The sequence below is a fragment of the Homo sapiens genome, chromosome 12, assembly GCF_000001405.40.
Source record: "Homo sapiens chromosome 12, GRCh38.p14 Primary Assembly".
Taxonomy (NCBI): Eukaryota; Metazoa; Chordata; class Mammalia; order Primates; family Hominidae; genus Homo; species Homo sapiens.
Genome location: NC_000012.12, coordinates 118,835,696 through 118,861,198, shown reverse-complemented (window position 1 = coordinate 118,861,198; position 25,503 = coordinate 118,835,696). Strand labels below are relative to the sequence as shown.

Genomic DNA, 25,503 nt, shown 5'->3' with positions numbered 1-25,503 from the left:
CTCCATGATCATTCCTTTAATTGGAGCAGACAGCTCTTTCTCAATTCACCTGTCTGCTCTGTATCACAATGTTTCCAAAAAAAGTGAAGGAAGAAAAGGAGGAAAGAGAGAAAAAAAGAGGGAAGGAAAAAGGAAAAAAGGGAGGGAGGGAAGGAAGAAGGAAGGAAGGGAGGGAGGAAGAAAGGAAGGGAGGGATGGAGGGAGGGTAGGAAGGAAGGAAGAAGAAAGAAAGGAAGAAAGAAAGAAGGAAAGAAAGAAAGGAAGGAAGGAAGGGAGAAAGGAAGGAAGGAGAAGGGAAGGGGAAAGAAAAGAAAAAGAGTTTTCTTAAATCAGCAGTTCTCAATCCTCACTACATATCTGAATCACCTGTGGAGCTTCTGAAGCCAACTCATGTGCAGGTTCTACCTCCAGAAATTCTGATTTAATTCATTGTGGGTGGGAGGAAAAGTTGGCATTCTTTGAAGGCTACTGAGTAGTGCTGGTGTCTTCCTCATGAAAGTGTGGTCCATGGATCTGAAGTGTCAGCATTGCCTGGGAGTGTATTAGAAACGCACATGTCTCAGGTCCTGCCCCAAACGTGCAGAATCCCAATCTGTGTTTTCAGATGATCCCTAGATAATTCAGATGGTTCATGTGCACATTCAAGTTCAAGAAGTGTTAAGAGACAGGAACTCCCCCGAATCTAGCTTCAATTCTTGGGAGAAGACATTGCTCTGTGCCCTGTGACACTCACAGTGTCTTTAGAGGAGCAGCCTGCCCTGGTGGGGAGGGGCAGGTGTGACTCTTCAAATAGAGAGGAGAGGACCACTTCAGCCAGGGAGATGGAGTTATCCAGAGCTCCCATGCCTGTCTATTGCCTCTGCCTTCCAGGAATGACACACCATGCTGTGCAATGGGCACTTCAATAACCCACAAACAGAGCAACCCAGAGTTACAACTCCAGAGCAGCATCCCACAATTACAACCGAGGAAATCATTTTTATGTTTCATTAGTGTTCCTTAATAGAGACGATCTGCTCCCAGGTGTGACTGCCTCAGTGACAAGCTGGACTAGCCGCTTACCCTTTCTACCAGCCAACTCAGACGTAAATGTGAATCACCAGGGAGATTCTGATTTGGTTCTTCCTGGGTGGGGCCGGGATTCTGCATTTCTAACCAGGTGGTGCTGATGCTGCTGGTTCTTTGAGTCTTGAGGAGGACTTAGCCTCCACACATATGTCCAGAAGACCCACTAGGAAGCATTCCTGTGCTAAGAGTTTTCTCTAATGCAACCTCATTTACTTCTAACAATGCCACAAGGTGGTGGAACAATTATAAATCACACCATTCTTCATCAGAGGCAACTGAGACTCAGAACCCACTTGAACCTCAGTTGGCTGAATTCCCAGACCTGACCAAGCATTAGAATGGCCTGGGGACCTTTTCAAAATCAACTCCCTGGAAGATTTTGATTCTGGGGTGGGTGCAGGAATATGTATTTTTAAAAGGTCTTCAAGTAATTACAATGTAACTAGTATGTGGACTGACTTGCTTTGGGGAATTACAAGTAAGACATCACTACCTGTCTAGAGCAGATCACAGCAATCTTGTCCTTCCTATTTCCTTTAGAGTAGCTGTATCTTATTTTCTTTATGTCTTTGACACCTAGCCCAAAACCTGTCAAAACACAAGAGCTTAATAAGAGTTATTGATTGGCTAAAAGGATTGAGAACTGGATAGTGGAAGGATGGATGCATGCATGTATGTATACAAGGATGGAGGAAGAAGGGTGGGAGGGAGAAACAAACAAAGGTGGGAGGAAGGAGAAATCACTTTGGGGTCTCCTAGAGCTTGCTGTTTACACACAAACTTGCATCAAGTTCTCAGAAGCATTTTTTAAAATCCATAGATATAAAATAATGGGTAGTATCTCAGCAGGTGAATAATGCAAGATGCAATGACTGTATTCACAGGATGCACCAAAATCCATGCCAACTAATGGACAAAGGAGGGAGGCAATGGAAAGCCTGACTCTGTTGGAAGATGTGAAAGGACTGTGTCAGCATCTGTGCCAACCAGCATGACTGGCTCCCTAGGTGTCAGTGATTAACCTAAAGCCACAGCCTATTTGCAGAGACAAGCCTCCCTGGGCTCATTTTTGCCAACTTGAATATAACCTAGTCCTTCTTCTTCTTCCACTCTTCTTCCTGACCTGGCCTCCTTTTTATCTTAATTTCCTGCCTTTCCCTCTGTCTTGTTCTCAGGGTCTTATAACCTTCTGTTCAATGCTCAGTGCTCCTCACCTCTATCTTTCTCTAGAGGTAAAATTGGGACCACTTTCTCATCAAGATCAATCCCATTATCATCAAGCATATAGAACCAGCCCGTCTTCAGCACAACCACAAATTAAGTGAAGGTAGTCTTCATATTCTTACTATCCCCCAACCCCATTGAAACTCAAGCCTCCCTTCTCCCAACCCCACACCAAAGAGTCATTTTCCCATCCAGTCCCATAGCTTTCAAGAGCTTCTATACACTGATGACTCTGAGATTTATATCTTATTTTATTGTTTTGTAGAGATAGGGTCTTAGTCTATGGCCCAGGATGGAGTGCAGTGATGTAATCATAGCTTACTTCAGACTCATATTCCTGGACTCAAGAGATCCTCCCGCCTCAGGCTTCCAAGTAGCTAGAACTACAGGTGTGTGGACCATGCCCAGCTACTTCAAATTTTTTTTTAAAGACAGGGTCTTGCTATGTTGGCCAGGCTGGTCTCAAACTCCTAACCTCAAGCCATTTTCCCACTTTAGCCTCCCAAAGCGCTGGGATTACAAGCATGAACCACCATGTCTGGCCTGAAATTTACATTTTTAATTGCAACTTGTCCCCTTACTTCCAGGCTTGTATATCTGAGTGATTAGGATCTCCCCTTGGCAGTCTAACAATGATTTTAACCTATCTACAACCAAACCTCTAACTCTCATCCATTCTTCTCCTCCCACGGTCCTCTCCACCTTAGTTGTGGGACCACTAATCACCCAGTCTCAATCATCCTTGATCATTTTCCATCTCTCACTCCCAGAGCTAATTCTTTGGGAAGTCCTGAGAGTTCAACCTTCACCATATATTCTGAACTGGAACCCACATCATCCCCTTCATTACTGCCCTGGTCCAAGCCACCATTGTCTCCCTCCTGGATAATTTCAGCACCCTCCAAATTGGTCTTCTGGCTTTTCTTACTGCCTTTCACCATGTTCACTGTCTCTACAGAGGCCAAAATGAACCTTTGAAAATTGACATAAGCTCATATCACTCATCTGCTTAAGCCTCTCTTAAAGCTCACCATCCCTCCACCATTTAGCTATTTTACTGTGGCCTTCAAGGTCCTAAACAACCTTGTCCCAGGCTACCTCTTCAACCACACTAACATTCTTTCTGCTCACAATACTTTTGGGTATTCCTAACGTATCTACAAGCAAACCTAACTCTCCTCCACTCTTCTCCTCCTATGGTGCTCCCCAGCACCAACCTCCTTCCCACCTCCTTTGAACTTGCTGCTGGTTCATTCTTCACTCAAAGGATGCAGAGAAAGGGGAACTCATATACTGTTGGTAGGAATGTAAATTAGTACAGGCACTATGGAGAACAGTATGGACATTCCGCAAAAAACTAAAAATAGAACTACCACATGACCTAGCAGTCCCACTTCTGGGTATATGCCCAAAGGAAAGGAAATCAGTATGTCAAAGGGATATCTGGACTCCCCTATCTATTGCAGCAGTATTCACAATAGTCAAGATAATAGAATCTACTTAGCTGTCCATCAACAGATGAAGAAAATGTGGTTTATATACACAGTGGAATACTATTTAGGCATAAAACGAACACAATTCTATCATTCACAGAAGCATGGATGAGCTCAAAGGACACTATGTTAAGTGAAATAAGCCAAGCACAGAAAAATAAATACCCCATATTCTCACTCATATGTGGAAGCTGCAAAACAGATCTCACAGAATTAGAGAATAGAATAGTCTTTATTAGAGGTGGGGAAGGATGGGAGGAGGGGGGATAGCTAAGGTTAGTTAAGGGAAACAAAAGTACAACTAGTAGGAGAAATAAGTTCTAGTGTTCTACAGTACTACAAGGTGACTATCATGAAGCACAATTTATTGTATATTTTCAAATAGCTAGAAGAGTGGATTTTAAATGGTTTCCACACAAAGAAATGATAAATGTTTGAGGTGATGGATATGCTAATTATCCTGATTTGATCACTACACATTGCATCCATGTATGGAAATATCACATTTTCCCTCTTAAATGTGTACAATTGTTATGCATCAATTAAAAATAACAAAAGCAAAACAAAATAAAATAATGTCTTGTCATTCCTCATTCTCTCTCCTGAACCCATTTTATTTTCCTTCATAAAACCTATTACCAACTCATCATATTTATAAACACATACCCATCTACTCTTGCATTTATTTCCTTATCATCCGTCTCCATCCAACAATAAAAGAGCCTCATAAGACCTTTTCTATACTGATCTCAGACGCATCCCTGATGCCTTGGACAGTGCCTGGAACATAGCAGATATTCAATCTAGTTTTGAACAAATGAGAATTGTCTGCCTCTGCCTAGCTCAGCAGCATGTTAATCTGGATTATAAGAACCATGCTTTATCCATTCATATATCCATCACTGTCCTGGCATTTTGCTTTTCAACAAATAAGCTCAGTAAATGCTTGCTACCATATGGCTTGTCAAGTAAGTAATGATACATTCACATCATGGAATTCTATATATTCTTATTCCATTTTTGTAAAAAAAAAAAGTCATAATGCTATGGAAAAGAAGACAAGAAGGTTATACCCCAAAATGAAAATAAGACAATCTTTGTAGGATGATGGCTAAAGTTTTGTTTCTTTGTTGGATTTTCTTCATTTTCTGATTTTTCTACAACAAAAATTTATCACTCGCACAACCAAAATCTAACTGCAAAACATTTTAATGTAATCCTGTTTGAAGGTAAAAACACTAATCATCTAATACTCTGACAGTTTATATGCTGAGACCTGGATTCTCACCTCTGCTCTTTAGGTTGCTCCCGGACAAGTCACTATCTTCTAGGACCAAGGCTCAGTTTATTCCTCTGAAAAATGGGGACATTATTTGTTCTTGACATAGAAATGTGATGAGGCTCAAATAACAATGTCTACATGCAAATATTTTGAAAACAGAAACAGCAGTACATTTTGAGGGCTTATCAATAATGAATCCTTACAGAGCATTGGTAGATATTACAGAGTTTGCTCCCTTCTTAGCAAAGACATTTGCATAGCCATGCTTCATCCCAAGGGGGTACCTCATGATGGAAATGTTAGGCACTGTAGGGAGGAAAATGGAGGAACCAGTTTTTCATCAGGCCGCCCTTTGGGCTCCCCTAGATTCCCATTACTAAGTGACCACCCACTGTTTACATGCAAGACTTAATGTTTCAGGGCATTCTACTGAAATGACCCCTCTGGGGAGGAAGGTTACAGCAAAAACTAAAAGCAAGCAATTGGACCATGAAACCCCCTTCCTTTCCCTTTCCCTTCCAGTCATACCCAGATTCCCAACTATACCCCGTAACCTGCCCAAATATGCCAACACACACAAGCATGCATATGACTAAACAGCCTTCATTTAAGTTTTGACAATTCTCCCTTTAAAAATAACAGTGCATCTGAGAGTCTGTGATATTTCGCCCAAATGGAGCTGAGTGCTGCAGACCAAGGATGACGGCAGACAGGAAGGGTTGGCTCATTAACCTTGCCTAGTATCTCCTACCACAGTCTCACAGAAAAAGGCTCATTGGGCAGTCACCAGATGAAACCTCCGTTAGGTTTCTTCCTGATGTATGGGCCTCAGTTTCCCCATCTGTAAAATTAGGAGGATAGCAGGGAACAGGGAAGCAGGTAGGTATCTATCTTACATACATCACCTTGTAGTATCCTATTTTTTAAAATTCAAAAGAAATTAGCCCAGACCCTCATCCCACATGCAGCAGAAGACAGGTTCTTTTCCAAACTGGTCCAGGGAAACTTAAGGGTGAAGGTGGAGCTTGTATTTCTTTATATCCAGATTTTCTCTCTCTCTCTCTCTCTCTCTCTCTCTCTCTCTTTCTCTCTCTCTCTCTCTCTCTCTCCTCTCTCTCTTTAAGACAGGGTCTGTCTCTGTTGCCCACACTGGGGTACAGTGGCATGATCCTTGACTTCTCAGGTTCAAGCGATCCTCTCACCTCAGCCTCCAAATTAGCTGGAACCATAGGTGTGTGCCACTGTGCATAGCCATTTTTTTTTTCCGAAGAGACAGGTCTCACTATGTTGCCCAGGCTGTTCTTGAATTCCTGGGCTCCGCTGAAGCTCTCACTTCGGCTTCCCCAATTGCTGGAATTACAGGCATGAGCCACCACATCCAGCCTGGATTCTCTGTTTTGCTGAGTTGGTTCCTTTTGTGGATCAACACTTAAGCACCTTACATGCTCTCTTCTTTTCCCTTATTATGTCATCTCATACTGAACACTGCTCCCATTCCTTTATTTCCCCAAATGCCACCAACACAAGTGTCAGCAAGTATGAAAGACTAGAATTGTCAGTTTTGATCAACAAATTGGAAATGAGGTATTCTGACTTTTGAAATCTTTGTCTGCTCTACCATAAGGAATTTCCCGTGTTCTCTTCCATTCTCTTTGAAGCTCCACTACCCAGCATGTAGCTCAGCCTCTTTTCTCCTACACTTCCTTTCTCTTTTCTGCCTCTCCTGCTCATCCATGATCTTGAATTCTTATTCATTTGGCAGAACAATTGACCTCTTATTTTGTTTTGCTATTTTGTTATAGCTTATGTCCATCAGGCCCTGTCTTTAACACCTAAAACAACCTGTAAAAATATATCCAAGACAAAGATGGTTTTCTCTCTAAAAGGACCTCTGGATGCCAAAGAGCTTTTTTTGATACCTGCCACCAATCTCTGATTTCATGCCCAAAACAGTCATCACTAATCAATCTCACCACTCTTTGCTACCAATAGGGCCTCTTCCCAACAGGTAAGTGTAGCCAGACTGTATTAGTCTGTTCTCATGCTGCGAATAAAAACATACCCAAGACTGGGTAATTTATAAAGGAAAGAGTTTGACTCACAGTTCAACATGGCTGGGGAGGCCTCACAATCATGGCAGAAGGCAAATGAGGAGCAAAGCTACATCTTACATGGTAGCAGGCAAGAGGGCATGTGCAAGGGGACTCCCCTTTATAAAACCATCAGATGTCGTGAGTCTTACTATCATGTGAACAGCATGGGAAAACCCCACCCTCATGATTCAATTACCTGCCACCGGGTGGCTCCCACGACACATGGGGATTATGGAAGCTACACTTCAAGATGAGATTTGGGTGGGGACACAGCCAAACCATATCACAGATGCTACCAGTTGACAACAGCTGCCACATTAGGTGCAATCTCTGTGCACTCTCTGATCCCCAGATGACATCCAAGTTTCCTTCTAATTTTGATTTTCTAAGGTTACCGAGAGCAGAATATTCACTGCAAAAAATCAACTGATGACCTTATAGTCATGTGCATGGAAATAGTCCAGGTGATCTGAATAGGACATATTCTTGCCTCAAACAATTCCCTTCCCTCAGCTCCAACAGTGTGCCACAGACCCTAATGCCACCCACATTTGGTTACATCTTTGGATTAAAATAGGAAATATCCTGGTTAAATAAGCATAACATACCTTGTTCTCTGCTCAGAATGTTCTCCCCCACCTTTTTCTTTGGTTTGACTTTCTTCTACTCAATCCTCTAGGCTCAGCTGAAACGTCATTTTATCCAAACAGACATCTCTGATAACCCTTCCCCCAACATAGGTCAGGTCCCCCTCCCTTTACCAGGTGCTCTTACAGCACATGTACTTCCCCTGTCTAACTTTCACCAGCATTTAATTATATCATTTTATTTATTGTCTACCATCCCAACTAGACTCTAGCCCTAGCACCAAGACATGCCCGAACATAGAAGATACTCAGTAAATATTTGCTGAATGATTGACTGGTTATTGATTGATTAATATCTACTTGCCAGGGAGGTTGTGAGACTTAGAGATGCATACTGTATATAAAATACTTAACAAAGTGCCTGGGATATAGTAAGTGCTTCATAAAGAACAGTAATAAGAGTATTACTAATAAAGGATTCTGTGTTCTCTCTCTCTCTCTCCCTCTCTCTCTCCTCCTCTACCCCTCTCTCTGTACTATCTCATTTAATCCTCACAACAACATCTACAAAGGCATTGGGGTTGTTCCCAGCAGAAAAATGAGGAAATTGAAGCTCAGGGAAGTGAAATGACTTGCCCAATACTGCTAAGTGGCAAGTTCAGAGCCTCTGCCTGTGGGCTGTCCTAGAGGGATCAGAGAAGAGGCATTAGGACAGGGACTTGAAGGTGAGTGAGGTCTACACTGCAAGGAAAGGGTGAGTAGAGTAGAAGGGCTAACTAAAGCTCTAAGCCTTGGAGTCAGAGCAGCCTGCGCTCCAATCCCTCCCCACCCATTTCCTAGCCCAGTGGCTTGGGCAAGTGACTTTACCCCTCTGAACCTCAGCGCTCTCCTCTATAAAAGGTAAATAATAATACTTCTATCTGTAACTGTGGTGATGAAACACGATCCCACAAGTGAAGCCCTTGGCAACTTGGCACATTGTGTGAATCATTATGCAATACTCATAAAATAAACTTGAAAATTTTTCTTTCTTCTTGATTTTCTTCTCCTCTCTCCTCTGTCTCTTCTCTCTCTCTCTCCCTCTCTCTCTCTCTCTCTCACACACACACACACAAGCAAACACACATCCTCTGATTCTTAGAACACTTTTAATGTGTAAAGACACTGAGCAGAAGTTTCCCTACCCATTGCTCAGTAGAAAGATGTGTTTTCGGGAGAACAGGGTTCTTTCCCTAGTGCTTGAAAACAAAGGGAGATTATTGGGTACAATTAATTGTTCAAACTGCCAGAGATGTGAAAGTAGAGGGAGTAAACAGATGCTGCTCTGAGCTCTGTGCTCATTAACTCAGAGAAGGGATTCATTTCATATGCATGATTAACTCCCCATCGTTGGTGATTTACACAGCAGATGATCAAATGAGAATTCATTATCCCTCAGACAGAGGGTCTGAGAACTAGGCATTCAGCCTCCTGAGACATCTCTGTCCCCTAAATTCCTAGGGTGTCTGTGATTAGCACCTTGACCCAAGAATATGCTGTTTATTTTGGTCAAGTTCTCCCAGGGGCTCTAAAAAGAGCAGTCATCAAAAGCAGCTCCGGATGAGCCACAAGAACTCTCCCATGGCTGGAAGGGACCCAGAACTCAGCCACCTTTAGTCTCCACTGCATCTTGCCATTGTTTAAAGGAACAGCTGTATTCTGCAACATAATGCCAACCATGGCAAGGCTCATGTTCAGCAAAGAAAACTCTCAGGACCAAAAGGAAGAGCTAACATCAGAGTGCAAGGTTGAGCCATAGAGACTTGAAAAGTATTTATTGAGCCTACTACAACATAAAAAATCAAGAATATCATAGCCTCTTTCCCCCACATTGGACAGAAAATGTCTTCCTGGAAGGCTGAGTGATTACCTTTAGTGCTAAGTAAGTGGCACAAAAATGCAAGGGGCTCTACAATGCCCTCACCTTCCAGAAAAGGGTAAGCCTACTCTAAGGGCTTTCTTTAATCATCAATGGCACAGAGACCAAAGGATGAGGAACCAAAACTATTTGAGAGAAAGAGCAGGGTCTCTGCTCTGCACTGTCCTCTATCAAATAGTCTTACACCATTCACCATGAGACAGGATTTGTTGGGGAGATGGTGGTGATTCAGACACTTCAGAAGCTCAGGCTAGAAGTGGTAATGGAGTAAGGACCTGAAGAATTAGATGACAAATTTTTCATATTCCCCTCTCTGGACCAGGGCTTTGCTGTGATGAATTCTTTACTAGGACTCAGAAACAAGGGAAAAATAAGAACCACCCTTGTAATAATTTTTCATAGAACTAAATTCGTTTGTTAAAATAATTCTTTATTTTGAAATCATGCACTTCCTTCCCTTTCTCTCATGTTTAAATAAGTTTCTTGGCTGGGTGCAGTTGCTCATGCCTGTAATACCAGCACTCTGCAAGGCTGAGGTGGAAGGATCACTTGAGCCTAGGAGTTTGAGACCATCTTGGGCAATACAGGGAGACCCCCATCTCTATTTTTAAAAAAAATCTTTAAAAAATAAATACTAAAAATAAAATAAAAGATAAAGAATTAAATTTCTTTTATAAAATGAGGGTGGTGACAAGATCTGTTTGTTTCAAAGGCTTTTTAGCAAAATCCAAAGTTGCCGAATCAATGTCAGACATCTTCTTTAAAAAAAATCATGAAATTTCCAAGTCAGACAGCCACAGCTATAAATAAAGGCAGTATAGATAAAGCTCTATGGAGGCTTAGCAAGGAGGGCGATATCTCTTCTCACTTGGGTGAAATCAGAAAAGGCTTCAAAAGAGTTGACATTTGGGTTGAGACTTTAAAGATGGATGAGCTTTGTATACATTGCGTTTGAGGTGAATTCGAAAGGGCATTCCAGGTGGAGGACACAGCCAGAACAAAGGCACAAGGATGGCAAGAGAATCCCAGAATGAATCATGCTGCAGGAATAGCAAAGACCTTGTTTAACCAGAGCAGTGGTATCTAACCGGCAAGCCACCGCCTCCTAGAGGGCTGCAGAGGTATTGCAAGGCATCTGTTAATGTCTCATCCCCAGTACAATTACTTGCCAATGTCTGTATGTTCATCCCTTTGAAAGAGTTACTGAATGCGTAGATATATTTGGTCAACAAATGGCTCCTTGAACAAAATTTATTCAGATACCTGCTATTTTAAAAATCCATGTTTTTTTAATGTCAAAAAGAGATCCTTATGCTCATTCCCTATCCATTCAGCAAGAATTCATTGAGAACCCACTATATGCCAGGCACTGTACTCAACACAACCTGCTTTTCTGAGCAAGATTTGGACCAGGGACACCACTGAGAAGGTTCTTGTAATCTGGGTGAGGGATAGGGGAGAGACAGGCTGGGATGATAGCAAAGAAAAGGACAGAAAGTGGGCAGATTCGGGCATAATTGAAAGTAAAATAAACCAGACTTGCCAGTGTATTTGACGTAATCAGAGAAAGACAGGAATCAAAAATCATTCCTAGGATTTTAGCCTGAACAACTAGGTATGATGTATACACCTACTATGTACTCACAAAAATTAAAAATATTTTTTTAAAAAAATATAGAGAATGGCAAGAAGTTAAAAGCTCTTTCTTGTGTGAAATAACCCAAGATCAAATTCTCCCTTCATCACTCACTGGCCGTGTGACCTTGTGCAAGTCACTCAACTTCTCTAAGCCTCAGTTTCCTCATCTGTAAAATGGTAATGCACATAAAGCACTGAATACCATGTGTATGGAATACAGTAAATGATGATACTACAGTATGATAAAAAGGTTGAAAGCATCGAATATTAACATAAGGCTTGTAAAGGTGGGCGAGAGGGTCTTCGGAAATAACTCTGGAGACCAGAACATGAGGGTGAAGTGAAAGGGGAGGACCTCAAATGCCAAACCAAGAAGCCTAGACATTCATAACTGAAAGTGTTTTCTCTATTTACTCCAGAAAATCAACAGCTTGGGATTCCTGAGAATACCTGGGGAAGATGATCTTCAATCAGCCAACACTTGCTGAGCACCAACTGTCCATAAAAGTCACCATGCTTGGCAACATGTATGATGCAAAGAAAGATAAGACATCATTTCTGCCCCTGAGAAGTCAATTGAATCTCAAAAGTCACAGATCAGAAGTGTTCATCTTTAACAGTGTTCATCTTTAAACAACAGCATACTATAAGATAGGTCCTGATGGAAAGCTGGAAGTTCTTGAGATCCTTATGAGGACTTAGCTGGAAATCTCCTGGGTGATATCAGCATGGGTCTTCCCTTAATCTCTGCATCAAGATGTTCATCCTCACACTACATAAGAACAGAAGTGATATGCTCACTTTGTTGAGTTCCCATTCATCATCCTTCACCCTGACAATTTTTGGTGTACCCAAATCTGATCCACTTTACTAGCCCAAGACGTCCATACCCTAGATGTTGTGAGTATTGGCTGCAAGGCTGACATCTGCCCTAGAGGAAAGTTGCTGTCAGCCAAACAGGAACTGTCTCACCCAGAAAGCTCATTTTAGGTACACAACTTCCTTCAAGACAGCCTGCATCCAACAACTGACTGACCTGGAGTTTTAAAAGGCTCATCCCCTTGCTTTAACATGGGATCAATTCTGCACAATTCATGCTCCAGAGCTCCCTGTGGGACCAGGCCATAGTTTCCAACTGAGGCCATACCCTTGCTTGGCTCCTTCCCCTGATCACTCCTGCTTCTTTTCCTCCCCTTCTCCTTTTCTTCTAAGGGTCTTAACTCAATATATTACATTCATGAGAATCTCAATCTCATATTCTTCTTCTACAGAACCTAACCTAAAATCTCAACCTTGCACTCTACTCTCTAACCCAATGTTATTGTTAATAATAGATAATATTTTTGAACTTCTACTATGTGCCAAACAACTCTTTATACAACTCATCTTGTATTTTCTCACGGGTTCAGTGCTATTACCCCATTACAAAGATGAAAAAACAGAAGCTCTAAGAGGTTATCATGTCTGGTATGCCTAACAAGTTTCCTCTGGCCTCTGGGAAAGAACCTGGATGTCCTATGGGACTGCACTCTTCATTCTGCAAAATGATTCTTTCCTCCCTTGCAAATGCTCTTCTGAGCTCCTGTGAGCTCCTCTTCTTTCCCCCTGCCTTCTTACTTCTCATATCCACCCACCCCCTCTGAAAACCAGTGGTCAGTTATGTGGGTTTCACAGCTCAAGATCTCCTAGGGCAGAAAATTCAATTTATTTCCATCTGCTTTAGTTTTCTCTCAGAATGCCTTTTTTTAAAATTGGCAATAAGCACTTTAGTTCTCCCAAGGATTGTTCACTCAACAACATGTTCCTAGCATTTTTAATAGGTATGTGTTGTGGGAGGAGGGATCATACATCCTTCTCTTCCAAGTGCTTAAAATAATTGATGAGATCAGGGTCTACTCTGGAAATCACAGAGGGTTCTCTCTCCCCCTCAAAAAGGCTAGTGCCAGCAAAGTAAAAAGGTAAATATCCAAACCCTTCCTGGAGGAAGGGACATAAGAGAGTGAGGATGACTTAAAAAAAAAAGAAAAGAAAGAAAGGACAGGGGTGTGGTGGATATAGCTAAAGGAAGAAGGAAAAATATAAGGAAGAAGCCTACATGCTTTACATACACTGTTCCTTCTGCATGGAATGGCTTCTCTCCTTCTCCAACTATTGTACTCTTATTCATGCTTCAAAACCCAGTTTAAATTTCATCAACTCTAAGAAGATTTACATGAGCTTCCCCAGCCTCCCTACACAGTCACTGCTGCCTGTGGACATACAGAATACAACCCATTCTCAAAATGTATTAATAGAATGAATGGTTAATGGGTACAAAAAAATAGAGGGTCGGGTGTGGTGGCTCACGCCTGTAACCCCAGCATGTTGGGAGGCCGAGGTGGGTGGATCGCGAGGTCAGGAGTTCAAGACCAGCCCGACCAACATGGTGAAACCCCACCTCTACTAAAAATAAAAAATTAGCCAGGTGTGGTGGTACATGCCTGTAATCCCAGCTACTCAGGAGGCTGAGGCAGGAGAATCACTTGAACCTGGGAGGCAGAGGTTGTGGTGAGTCAAGCTTGTGCCACTGCACTCCAGCCTGGGCAACAAGAGAAAAACTCCATCTCAAAAAAAAAAAATAGTTAGAAAGAATGAATAAGATCTACTATTTGATAGCACAACAGAGTGACTATAGTCAATAATAACTTAATTGTACATTTAAAAATAAAAGAGTATACTTGGATTGTTTGTAACACAAAGGATAAATGCTTGAAGGGATGGATACCCCATTTTCCATGATGTGATTATTACACATTGTATGCCTGTATCAAAGCATCTCATGTACCCCATAGATATATACACCTACTATGTACCCACAAAAATTAAAAATAATTTTTTAAATATAAAGAATGTCAAGAAATTAAGAGCTCCTTCTTGTGTGAGATACCCCAAGATCACTCTCCTGTCATCACCCACTGGCTGTGTGGCCTTGTGCATGTCATTCAACTTCCCTAAGCCTCAGTTTCCTCAGCTGTAAAATGGTAATACACATAGAGCACTTAATGCCATGTGTCTGGGATACAATAAATGCTCAATAAAATGATACTAAATTTCTTTATTACTATCACCATCAACACTCCCTCCTCTGAATTCCCTAAGCACCATTTTCCTATTGTTCATTCCATTAATTTGCTATTTACCCTAGATGGCCTTGCTTTGTTAATTAACATTCCATGTGTGCATATCTCTCTTCCTTAACTACATTGCAAGGTCCCTGGGGACAGGAAGTGCATCTTATACTTTTATATCCCACACAGCTGTGAGAGCAGCGCCAAACACATAGTACACGCTCAAATATTTGCTGACTAAATTCTTAAAGCTTTGGCTACAAGTATAGGTGCTTATTTTCCTTGGCAACAGGACAAATAACATTTGTGTTTACACTCTTGTTTCCAAGGCTAATTGATGTGGGTCTTAAACTCATAAAAACCCCTTTAAACTCTCCTCTAATAATGGCAGAAGCCATCAATTAAACAAATCATTAGATGTATCAACAATCTATTAATCCACTCTTAGTGGAGGGACATTGGTTGATTTTGAGCTGAATGGCTGCACGGTGGAATTGGACTTAACTGGAATATTCTTTTTAGTTTCTAGCTCTTAATCAGCATTGCTTACTCTATGAAATGAGGATTAAATGATAATGTAGCCAATACAAATATGGATATAGATAGGGATATGCAGATAGCATCTCACCCAATTCCTGGCATATCATAAATCCTTAATACATGATGGCTTTAAAATTTAGGAGGAGAGCTGGATAATAGAAAGGAGGTTCAAGCCCTAGCTCTGCCTCTTGCCAGCTATTATGTGGTCTTGGGCAAGTCATTTTATCTCTTTGATCTCTAATTTCCTCATAAGCGAAATAGGAATAAAAGTACTTGCATTGCAGAATTATTATGAGCATTAAATGAGGTTATGTATATAAAATGATAGTGTCCCAATCTATTTCACCCAACCTTCCTGCCTTCAGGCATCATTTTCTCTACTTCTACCATCCTTCATTCATTCAGCAAATATTTACTAACCACCCACTGTGTTCCAGAAACCATGCTTGATGCGAGAGATACAGTGCGGAAAAAAGAACAGAGTGCCTGTCCTCATGAAGTTTATAGTCTAGGGAAAGATACAATCAGTTAGTACAAGAGAGTAGCAAGTGCCCTTACAGAAGGTGGTGCTGGGGACCAAGGGTACACGTTGGAGACTGAATGAAGGAGGAGGTCACTAAAGGCTTCCCCAAAAGAAGTGAGTGTCAGCTATCGATACCAACACTCAGCTTCCACCCACCCTCTGATCTGTGTGGCGATGCTGGGCTGCAACGACATCCTGCCTTGCCTGCCTCCCTGGTAGATTCTGTAAGATGAATGGCTCCAGAGATGACTTCAAGGACGGAGGAGGCTGTATTAGTTTGCTAGGGCTGCCATAACAAAGTATCACAAACTGGGTGGATTAAACAACAGAAATTTACCATCTTAGAGTTCTGGAGGCTTGAAGTCCAAGATCAAGGTGTCAGCAGGGTTGGCTCCTTCCTAGGTCTGTGAGAGAGAATCTGTTCCATGCCTCTCCCCTAGCTCCTGGTGGTTTGCTGTCAATCTTTGGTATTCCTTGGCTTGTAGAAATACCTTCTGGCCTTCCTATTCCCACTAACTTCTCTCTGTGTTCGTGTTTGTGTCCCAATCTCCACTTTTTTATAAGGACATTAGTTGTATTGGACTAGAATCCACCTGAATCCACTTTACTTAACTAATTACATCTGCAATGACCCTATTTTCAATGATGTCTCATTCTTGGATACTGTGGGTTAGGGCTTCACCATATGAATTTGGAGGGATGCAATTCAACCCATAATGGAAACAGAAGTCTGCATCCTGTTCCTGTCAGTGCCAGATGGCTGCAGAAACAGCCATCATGTCCTGTTTCCAGGTGTTTTTTCCTTATACTCCCGGAAACAACCTCATTGTACCCTGTCAGATTTACCAGTATTAGCTGGCCAGGGCCACCTCCTCAGAGTCAGTCTCAGCCCCATGGGAACCCTTCTCTGAACATCTAGTTTCTAAAACCACAATCTTTCCTCTTTGTTCTTCCAGCCCTATGGGATTTATTAGTTTCTTTCTGCCTGTGAGGGGCATCCTCTGAGATGGTCCTCAGTGACACATGTCCCCTGATATTCATGCCATTGGGTAATACTGTCACAGGATCCTTGCAGTGTCACTTTTCCAGCCAAAAACCTTTGTGGCTGGTGGCATCTTTGCCCGAGTTTTGCTCAGGCCTGCTGGGCTTGTCCCGCCCACTCGGCCCAGCAGGCTGAGCTCAGCTCACACTACCAGCCTGGATCCCATGCCTGCCAAGGGTGAACCAGATGTGGAACTGCGAGGGGTGAGTGAACACAGGGTCTGGCCACTGCGTACACCCAGGCATGCCAGCTGTGGAAGGGCAGGTAGCTCCAGGCATTGGTGTAGCTCCAGGCATTGGCACAGGTGCCAGCTCTGTGAGGCTGTGGCTGGACAAGGCATACCACGCATGGCTTCCACTGTGGGCACTGGGGGGTGTGGTGGTGTCCAGAAGCTTGGAGATGCCAGAATCTGCAGAGTCCCAAAGAGAGTGTCACAGCCCTGGCTCAGGGAACCCCTAGGTCTGGGCTCCCCAAAGGGCCCCAGCTTTTCTCTCCTTCTCACCGCCCACAATGGGGTGAGCAGGGGGCGTGTTTCAGCCCTGTTTGTGTTACAGCTCTTTCAATCCCACCATTTGGTGGGTCTGGAGTTCTTGTTCCACATCCAGGAAGAATGAAGTACAAGGACAACTGGATGGTGAGCAAGGTAGAGGGGAACTTCACTGAGTGACAAAATAGCTCTCAGGAGACTTTAAGTGGGTAGCTCCTTTCTGCAGGCAGGTCTTCCCCGACGAGTGTCCAGCAGTGAGGAGACCCAAAGTGGGCAGCTCCTTCCCACAGCTGGTAAGTCCCGACATCTGTGTGAACCTGGCTGGGGGAGGGGGTAGTTTTATGGGCTCAGAAGGGAGGAAGTGCGTGTTGATTGCTCCATGAGCAGCCATGGGCAACCCAGAAGAATCACCATAAGATTTCACTCACGGCCGTGGACTCCACCCGGAACTGGCAGCCCCGCCCCCAAGTTTCAGGCCATCCCTGGCTTGAAGGGAGGCTTTCACTAGGAATCTGCCCCTTCCCACCCAGGAGCCTGTCTGCCTCCTGCCACCATCAATTTGCTATCCACAGCACCCAGGCTGTCCGTGCTGAGGGGTGCCTGCAGTCCTCAACACCCCCCACCTACCCCACTATCTCCCTCCTGCACTCCTCGGCACCCAAAGTCTGGAAGGGCCTGAGGCAGCAGGGGGCTGATGTGTCAGCACCACCCCAGGCATGTGCACACCTGGCTGGGTTGTGACAGCACCCAGGCTTGGCCACTACTTTGCTCCACCCCAGAGTGGGCATCAGGAGCTGGGAGAGGCCAGGGAGAAGAAGCAGGCATTTCTGAGCCTACAGGGGCAGAGGGGCTTCCTGAGTCCCAGAGAGCACAGGGATGCCCGGGTCTGCAGCCATGGCTGGGAGACTGCAGCTGCGTCCAGGAGCACAGGGCTCTCACCCTGCCAACTCGGAAGGGGATGGAGCTCCTGCTGGTTCCTGGCTCCTGCCAGCTCCATGAAGCACACAGCCCCAGCCACATCTCCCCCACTGCAGCTGGTGTCTCAGCCGTGGCTGCTCCAAACAGGCTGCCACTGCCATCAATCCCATCCCCTGGAAAGGAGGATGGACTTACTGACTCACTTCTCATAGCACAAGTAATGGGATGTTACTTCTGAGATTAAATAATAAAACTGTGGCCTCCATCACAGGTTTTCTCTTTTGCTTACTCACTCTGATGAAGCCAGCTGCTCTGTTGCCAAGCTGCTCTATGGAGAGGCCCTTATGGCAAGGAACTGAGTGGGGACTGCAGCCAGCATACTGTGATAAACTAAAGTCTTCAGTCCAACAGCCCATGAGGAACCAAATTCTGCCATCGATCACTTGAATGAGCTTGGAAGCAGCTCCTTCCCTAGTTGAGACTTCAGATGAGATGACAGCCCCCGCTGATCCCTCAATTGTTGTCTTGTGGGATATTCTGAGGCAGAGGATCCATTGAAGCCATGCCCAGATTCCTGACCAACAGAAAATATGAGATAATGAATGTTTGTTGTTTTAAACTGCTAGTTTTGGGGTGATTTGTTATGCAGAAGTGGATAACAAATCCACCACAATTACTATTGATTGTCTTAGTGTTCCCTCTTTATCTTTCCATCTTCCAATAGGTATTTAACCAATTCCCTATATTAAATGCTCTCAGTTAAATTAACTGGCATAATTCCTATTTTCCAGATTAGACACTGACTGACCCAAGATGGTATCTAAGCTGTGAAATAACTGGTGGTTAGTTAAGTAACAGGATGGGAAGAGTGTTTCAGGAATCAAAAGCAACATATGCAAAGATCTGGGCACCATTTATTCTTTAAACATATTTATTAAGCACCTACTATGTGCCAGACTGAATGCTAGATGTTGCAAATAAAGCTATAAATGAGAGAGCAAGATCCTGCCTCATGGAGGTTGCCTTGGTATGTTCAGCAATGAGACAAAAGCTAAGACCAGTACATCAGAGACAGCTCACGCTCTAGGCTTCCTCATAAAGGACATTGACACTTGGTATTCTTAATATAGGCATGAGACAAGTAACCACCTTTCAGCATCAGCTTCTCATCTGTAAAGTGAAGAAGACAATCTCTTCCTCACAGGACTGTAGCACTGATCAAAGGAGGTTTGAGGGCTTAAATAAGCTTTATATAAGAGACAGAACTCTACTACCATTAAGATAAAGCAGTCCTATTTTAACAGCTAGACTCAACTCGGAACGATCAAAGTCTCTTCTCTGTCCAACTGGCCAGCATCCCTCTGCTGGCCTGGGGCTGGCTGCAGCCGAAGCCTAGGTTAACAGGATTAAACAAAGAGCCTGTTGCTTCTGGCCCCAGCCAGTGGGTTGCTGGCCATTGATTAAAAAAAACAGCCTGTAATACAAAGAGTAACCTCCCTGCGGCCACCCACCCCATAAATCATCTGCTACCAAGGGCTATTGAATTACCTCTGGAAGATGGATGACACTGGGCTGGAAGGCTGCTTGATAAGGTTTCCTTTTGAATAATTTCACGTAGAAAGCTGGGTTTGAGAAATGGGGTCTTTCCACCAGCTCAGCCCCATCCATGTCGTCTCTGCCAGGTGCATTCAAGATAAACACGTTTCCTTACAGGCTGCTGGAGTGTCTGTGATGGAGGAAGAAAACATACTGCCAGGCCTCTGGGAAGTATCTACTTCCACCTGAGGCAAACATGGTGGCTTTGTTTTATTATTATTATTATATGTCATTTATTGTACTAACTTATTAATAGTATCTATCATTTATTAAGCATATTTTATGTGCCAGGCAAAGTATTTGAACTTATGAAGTCCTTAAACAATCATATGAGGGAGGTCCTATTACTCTCTTCATTTGACTGATGAGAAAATTAAAGCTCAGAGAGGTGACATGACTTTCTCATGGTTACAAAACTAGTCAGTGTTGGAGGTGGGACTCAAACCTATGCTCTTAACAGGAGTTGGCAAACTTTCCTTAAAGGGTGAGACAATAAGTATTTTAGGCTTTGCAGGCCATATTGTCTCTTTTGAAACTACTCACCTCTGTTCTTTTAGTGCAAGAGCAGCCACAGACTATGTGCAGGGCTGTGTTCCAATAAAACTTTATTTATACAAACAGATGTGGGGGGGCAGGACCTGATTTGGCCTATGAGCCATAATATGACAACCTCTACTCTTAACAGTTACATGGCATTAATTCTCACCATTTGGGCTTTACAGTTTCTTGTACTTACCTGTTTTCACTTAGAAAATGCATTGGCTCCTCATGGAGTCAGCTGGTTTATTCAATTCATTTATAATTTCTTTATTGCCTTTGTGAAGGTTCTAGCTCTATGGAGAAAATACAGATATCCTGTTAGTCAGAGAAGTAAGATGTGTAATATATTTCAATTATTCATCATTTTAGTGAGGAAAGGGTCTGCTATGCTGCAGTACCAGTAAACCCCCCAAATTTCTGTGCTTTAGCAGAGGGTTTCTCAACTTCAGTGTTATTGACATTTTGGGGCTAGACAGCCCTGTGTTATCCTGTGCATTGTAGGATTTTTAGCAGCATTTCTGCCTCTACCCACTAGATGTCAATAGCATCTCCCTAGTCATGACAACCAAAATGTCTTCAGACATTGCCAAATGCACCCTGGTGGGGAAGGGGGGCAAAATCATTCCCAGTTGAGAACCACTAGGTTAGGACAACAAAAGTTTATTTCTCACTCATGAGAATGCAAATAGGTGCCATCAGCTATCCTTGACAGTTCCCCTGTAATGGTTCACAGGGATCCTAGATGCTTCCATCTATACTCTGCTATCTCAAAGTTCTTCACTTCCTGCCATGCATGTGGAAGAGATAGAGAATGGAGAACTCACCCCCCTCTTGACTTTCTCAGACCAGAAGTGTTGCTTATGCTAGTGGGTCACCGGCCATAGCCTAACTACAAGGGAGAAAGAGCACATGGGAATCTCTCCATGAGGATTCAATTACTCAATAAACATTTAGTGACTACCTATTCTGGTTGACAGTGTGCTAATGCTGGTGATACCTCAGTGGATAAATCAGATTCTCTCTCTATCCATATAGTGTTCACATTCTTGCTTTAATGTGCTCTTTGGGGTTGCAAAAAAAGGGAGCACTCTCAGGTTTGATAATAGGGATTATTGAAAAGATTCATATAAATGTGAGAAATGAGATCAAATTATCTCCACAATTATGGTGGGTCCAAAGCTCCAAAAGCCCCAGGAAGAACCTGAATAAATATCTTGAAGTCTGAACCTAGTTGGTTCTTTTTCCCCTCATTCTTTTGCCATTCATATGTCCTTAAAAAACCGAATACAACTGGATCAATTACCATCCAATAATGAGTCTTTGTTGACCACTTTCACTAAGTTATGCTGTGGTCACAAACAACTCCAAAATGTCCATGGGTTACAACCACAGATATTTATTTGTTGCCTGTGTACATGTCATCTGCAAGTTTTCCTTGAGTCGGAGTTCAGCTCTGTCTTATATCCATATCTTCATTATTCCAGAACTGAATGAAGGACAGTCCCATTCTCAGTCATGAGTCAGAAGAAGAGCAGCAGTATTAGAATCACTGTTAGCTCTTAAAATTCCTTCTCTAGGCATGAAATTAATATCTATGGAAACTCCATTGGCCAAAGCAACTTGTGTTACCAAGTAATGACATCAGCAGGGCAGGAAGTGTATTTATTACCCAGGGAGGGACACCAGGAAGTAGCACTAGTTGATAGATGAATCTATCATTGACAGATGAGTCTATCAACTAGAGAAGGGCTCTGGCATCTAGTAGGTAGAGGTCAGAGATGCTGCTAAACATTCTATAATGCACAGGACAACAAAAAACTATAGAGCCCAACATGTCAAGCAAATACCTTGAATGTAACTTATCACAGCAATTCTCAATTTTGTCCCCAAGGAAATATTTGAGAATGTCTAGAGGCATTATTTGCTGTTGCATCAGGGGTGATGCATCTCTGGTAGAGTCAAAGAATGCTGCTAAACATTGTACGATGCACAGGAAAGTCCCCCACAACAAAGAATTATCTCACCCCAAAAGTCAACAGTGCGAGATTGAGAAACCCTAACCTACCATAAGAAGTAACTGGGTTCCTCCATTCATTCATTCATTCATTCATTTTTCTCATTACTAATCAATGATTTATTGAATGTCTGTTGAATGCCAGACACTGTGCTAGGCCCTGGGGATATAATAGGAGCTAAAATAAACACGATTCCTGTTCAAATGGAGTTTATATTCTACTTGGAGAGACAGACATTAATAAATTAATCAAGTAATTACATAACTGAGTGTTTCATTATAAATTAAAATAAATGGGAGAATGGAACAGATTTTATAATAGCCTGTGGGGAAAAGGGGGAAGGTGGAAGGTTAGGAAAGTCTTTCTCAAGGAAGTGATAAGAATTCTGAAGCATATGTAGGAATTAACTAGATAAAGAGGAAGGGGAAGAGAGTTCTGGGCAGAGAAGTGGGAAGGAGTATGCTGTGTCAGATGGTCTGAAAAGTCCCGTGGGATAAACACACAGAAAGTAAAGGGTAAGTAGTATGTGATGCAGCTTAAGAAGACAGCAGGGACCAGATCACCCAGGGCTTTGTAGACCAGTCTGGAGAGTTTTGTGTTTCTCCTATGAGCAATGAGAAGCCACCAACAGGTTTTCAGCACTGAGGAAATGACGTACTTTGTATTTCAAACAGATCACTTAAGCTGCAGTGTGGAAAATGGCGTGGAGTAGGATAGAACAGATGCAGGGAGGTCTATCAGCAGACTTTCAGTCTTTCAGAGAAGGGAGGATGGGAGCTCAGAGGAGCGCGCTCCTAGGGAAGACAGAGAAAAGTGAATATATCTGAGAATTAATTACGTTCTGAATGGATAAATTCAGAAATTTAGAAGATAGTCTGATGGATAATGGATGTATAAATGGATGGATGGTTGTGAGTTTCAGTGAGACAGAAAATAATGGAAAAGGACCAGGTTTAGGGGCAGGGGAGTAGGAAGGCAATGTAATCTATAATAAAATACCAGCTTAAGAAGTGATTGAGGCAGCCTGGTGAAAATATCAAGAAGGCAGCTGGATATATGTGTCTGCAATTCAGAGGAGAGACAAGGCTGAAGTTATTAATATAAGAATAATCAGGATATAGATGCCCAAACCTCACATGGAAGCCTTTGAGTTGGACCCTAATCCCTGGTTTCATCATTTGTGGCTGGTTTTCCTTGACTCAATGCCAGTAACCGTAACAACTCTATGAAGATAGAACCACTTGTCTGCTTCCCTCAGAATTCACTCATTTATTCCATAGTCTTGGATGTCTGTGTGTCAGACTTTATCCTTGGGGGCTGGTGATACAACTGTAAATGAGAACAGACAAGGTTATGGTCCTGATAGGCATTTAATATTTTATGGCTTCTTCCTTCATATAAATTGTGCAAAACAACTGATTCTTGGTCTTTCCATGTCTGGTCTGGAGTAAATCATCCCACACTGAAGGAAATGCTTGCCTGTAAAATAAACTCAAAATCATAATAGGATAATAGAATTATAGTGTCTCAGCCTTACATTGGTAGGGTCTACTTGGTTCAATGATGTTGAATAGATATCCTCTCACATGCCAACTTTAATTGATTGGTAGTAGCTGCCTGGAGAGTTAGGCAGAGAATGATTCAGCTGGAATAAAAAACCAAAGCAATTGATTAGTGATGTCTGTCAAGGGTTTGATATGGGAGAGTGAAAGGCAATTACCCACTGCTCTAATCTCATTGATCATTTTTATATATTGCTAAATTCTATTTGATAATATTTTGCTAAGAAATTTTTTGTGTGTTTGTGAGAGATCTTGGTCTATTAGTTTCTTTTTTTAAAAAAATTAATATCCTTGGCAGGGCACAGTGGCTCATGCCTGTAATCCCAGCACTTTGGGAGGCTAAGGCAGGTGAATTACGAGGTCAGGAGATCGAGACCATCCTGGCTAACACGGTGAAACCCTGTCTTTACTAAAAACACAAAAAATTAGCTGGGTGTGGTGGCGGGAACCTGTAGTCCCAGCTACTCTGGAGGCTGAGGCAGGAGAATGGCGTGAACCCGGGAGGCGGAGCTTGCAATGAGCTGAGATCGCGCCACTGCACTCCAGCCTGGGTGACAGAGACTCCATCTCAAAAAAAAAAAAAAAATTAATATCCTCATTAGGCTTTCTTATTGGAGTTATGTTGGCCTAATGAAATGAGTTGAAAACAATTCTCTCCTTTATTTTATAAAGGAGTTTATGTGATATTGGCATTATTTTGTTCTTAAATATTTGATGAAATGTGCCTGTAGTTGTAGGGGAGGAAAGGCAGGGAGAGGTTTTAATAGGATAATCCAATATCTTAAATGCAGGGCTATGTAGATTTTCTATTTCTTTTTCTGTTAATTTTAAGTTGTATACTTTGAGGGATTTGTACGTTTCACCTAAGTTGTCAAATTTAACCCATTCCTTTAAAAGGTGAAGAAACTAAAGCTTAGATATGACAATTACTATGCCCCAGACCACACAGTAAATGACAGATCAACAGAACTCAGGTCTTTATGTGCTGAGTTCATTTCTCCTAATCTGCCTCATCCAGATTTATCCTACTTCCAAAGACCACAGGGGGATTTTCTGAGGATCTTTCCAGGAATAACATACGCATGCATTTCAAATGCCCCATGCTGCAGTGTTTAGCATGATCTAGTGATAGAGAGAAAGAGCTGTCCAGGGCAAAACCAACAAACTCGAGCCTTAGATCTTATCAGTCTTACCTGCCAAAGGCTGAGGCTTTTTTAGGAAACTCATGGATCACAAGGAAGAGAAATCTATTCTGTTTGAGTTGCCCTGGAAAGCAGTCAAGGCTGCCTTTCCCTGTGGTGCCCCCAGTTCAGTGTAGGAAGCCAGGCTGTCCATGCAGATTACTATCCCCTGTGTCTGGGCCTGACCACTGGAAGATAAAGTCCCCAGGAACCATCTCTGCCTAACCTGACCTACTTAGATGTGACAAGCCTGATGAGGTTGGGAGTGGAGCTAATGGAGATGGACAAGAAGGCAGGCCTGGGATGGCCCAAGGGAGATAAGCTCACAGGACTTGGCTCAAAACACTCCTGGGGAAAGCTCTCTAGAGCAGAAGCATCTGTTAAATCTGACCACATCAGCGCCCTGCTTAAAACTTTTCAGTGATATCCTTGTGTGCTCATGAAATCATCTAAACTCCTTACTGTGGCCTCCAAGACGTGACCATGTGATGCTTCTTTCTCCATCCTTCCTCCTGACCACTGTCTTTGAGTGAAACTCAACTGTCTTTAGTTCCAAAATGGCAACATGTTTCCCCTTAACCCAGGGCCTTTGCACAGGCTGCTTTCTTGGACTAAAATATGTTGTCCCCTTATTCTAATTTGGCTTCAAGGTTGCAGCTTAAATATCACTTGTTCCAATGGCATTTCCC

The 25,503-nt window shown here is 42.7% G+C and overlaps 1 long non-coding RNA gene across 1 annotated transcript in view; it reads right to left on the bottom strand.

The window, feature by feature from the left end:
- Nucleotides 1-23,710, bottom strand: part of LOC105370018 (uncharacterized) — a 30,545-nt gene extending 6,835 nt beyond the window's left edge. The window contains exons 1-6 of the long non-coding RNA XR_945422.3: nt 23,609-23,710; nt 23,203-23,400; nt 20,253-20,349; nt 19,469-19,646; nt 18,214-18,494; nt 5,074-5,138 (exon numbers count right to left, since the gene is read on the bottom strand). This is a non-coding gene — a long non-coding RNA (uncharacterized LOC105370018). The remainder of the gene's footprint in view (nt 1-5,073; nt 5,139-18,213; nt 18,495-19,468; nt 19,647-20,252; nt 20,350-23,202; nt 23,401-23,608) is intronic.
- Between the last annotated feature and the right edge of the window lie 1,793 nt (nt 23,711-25,503).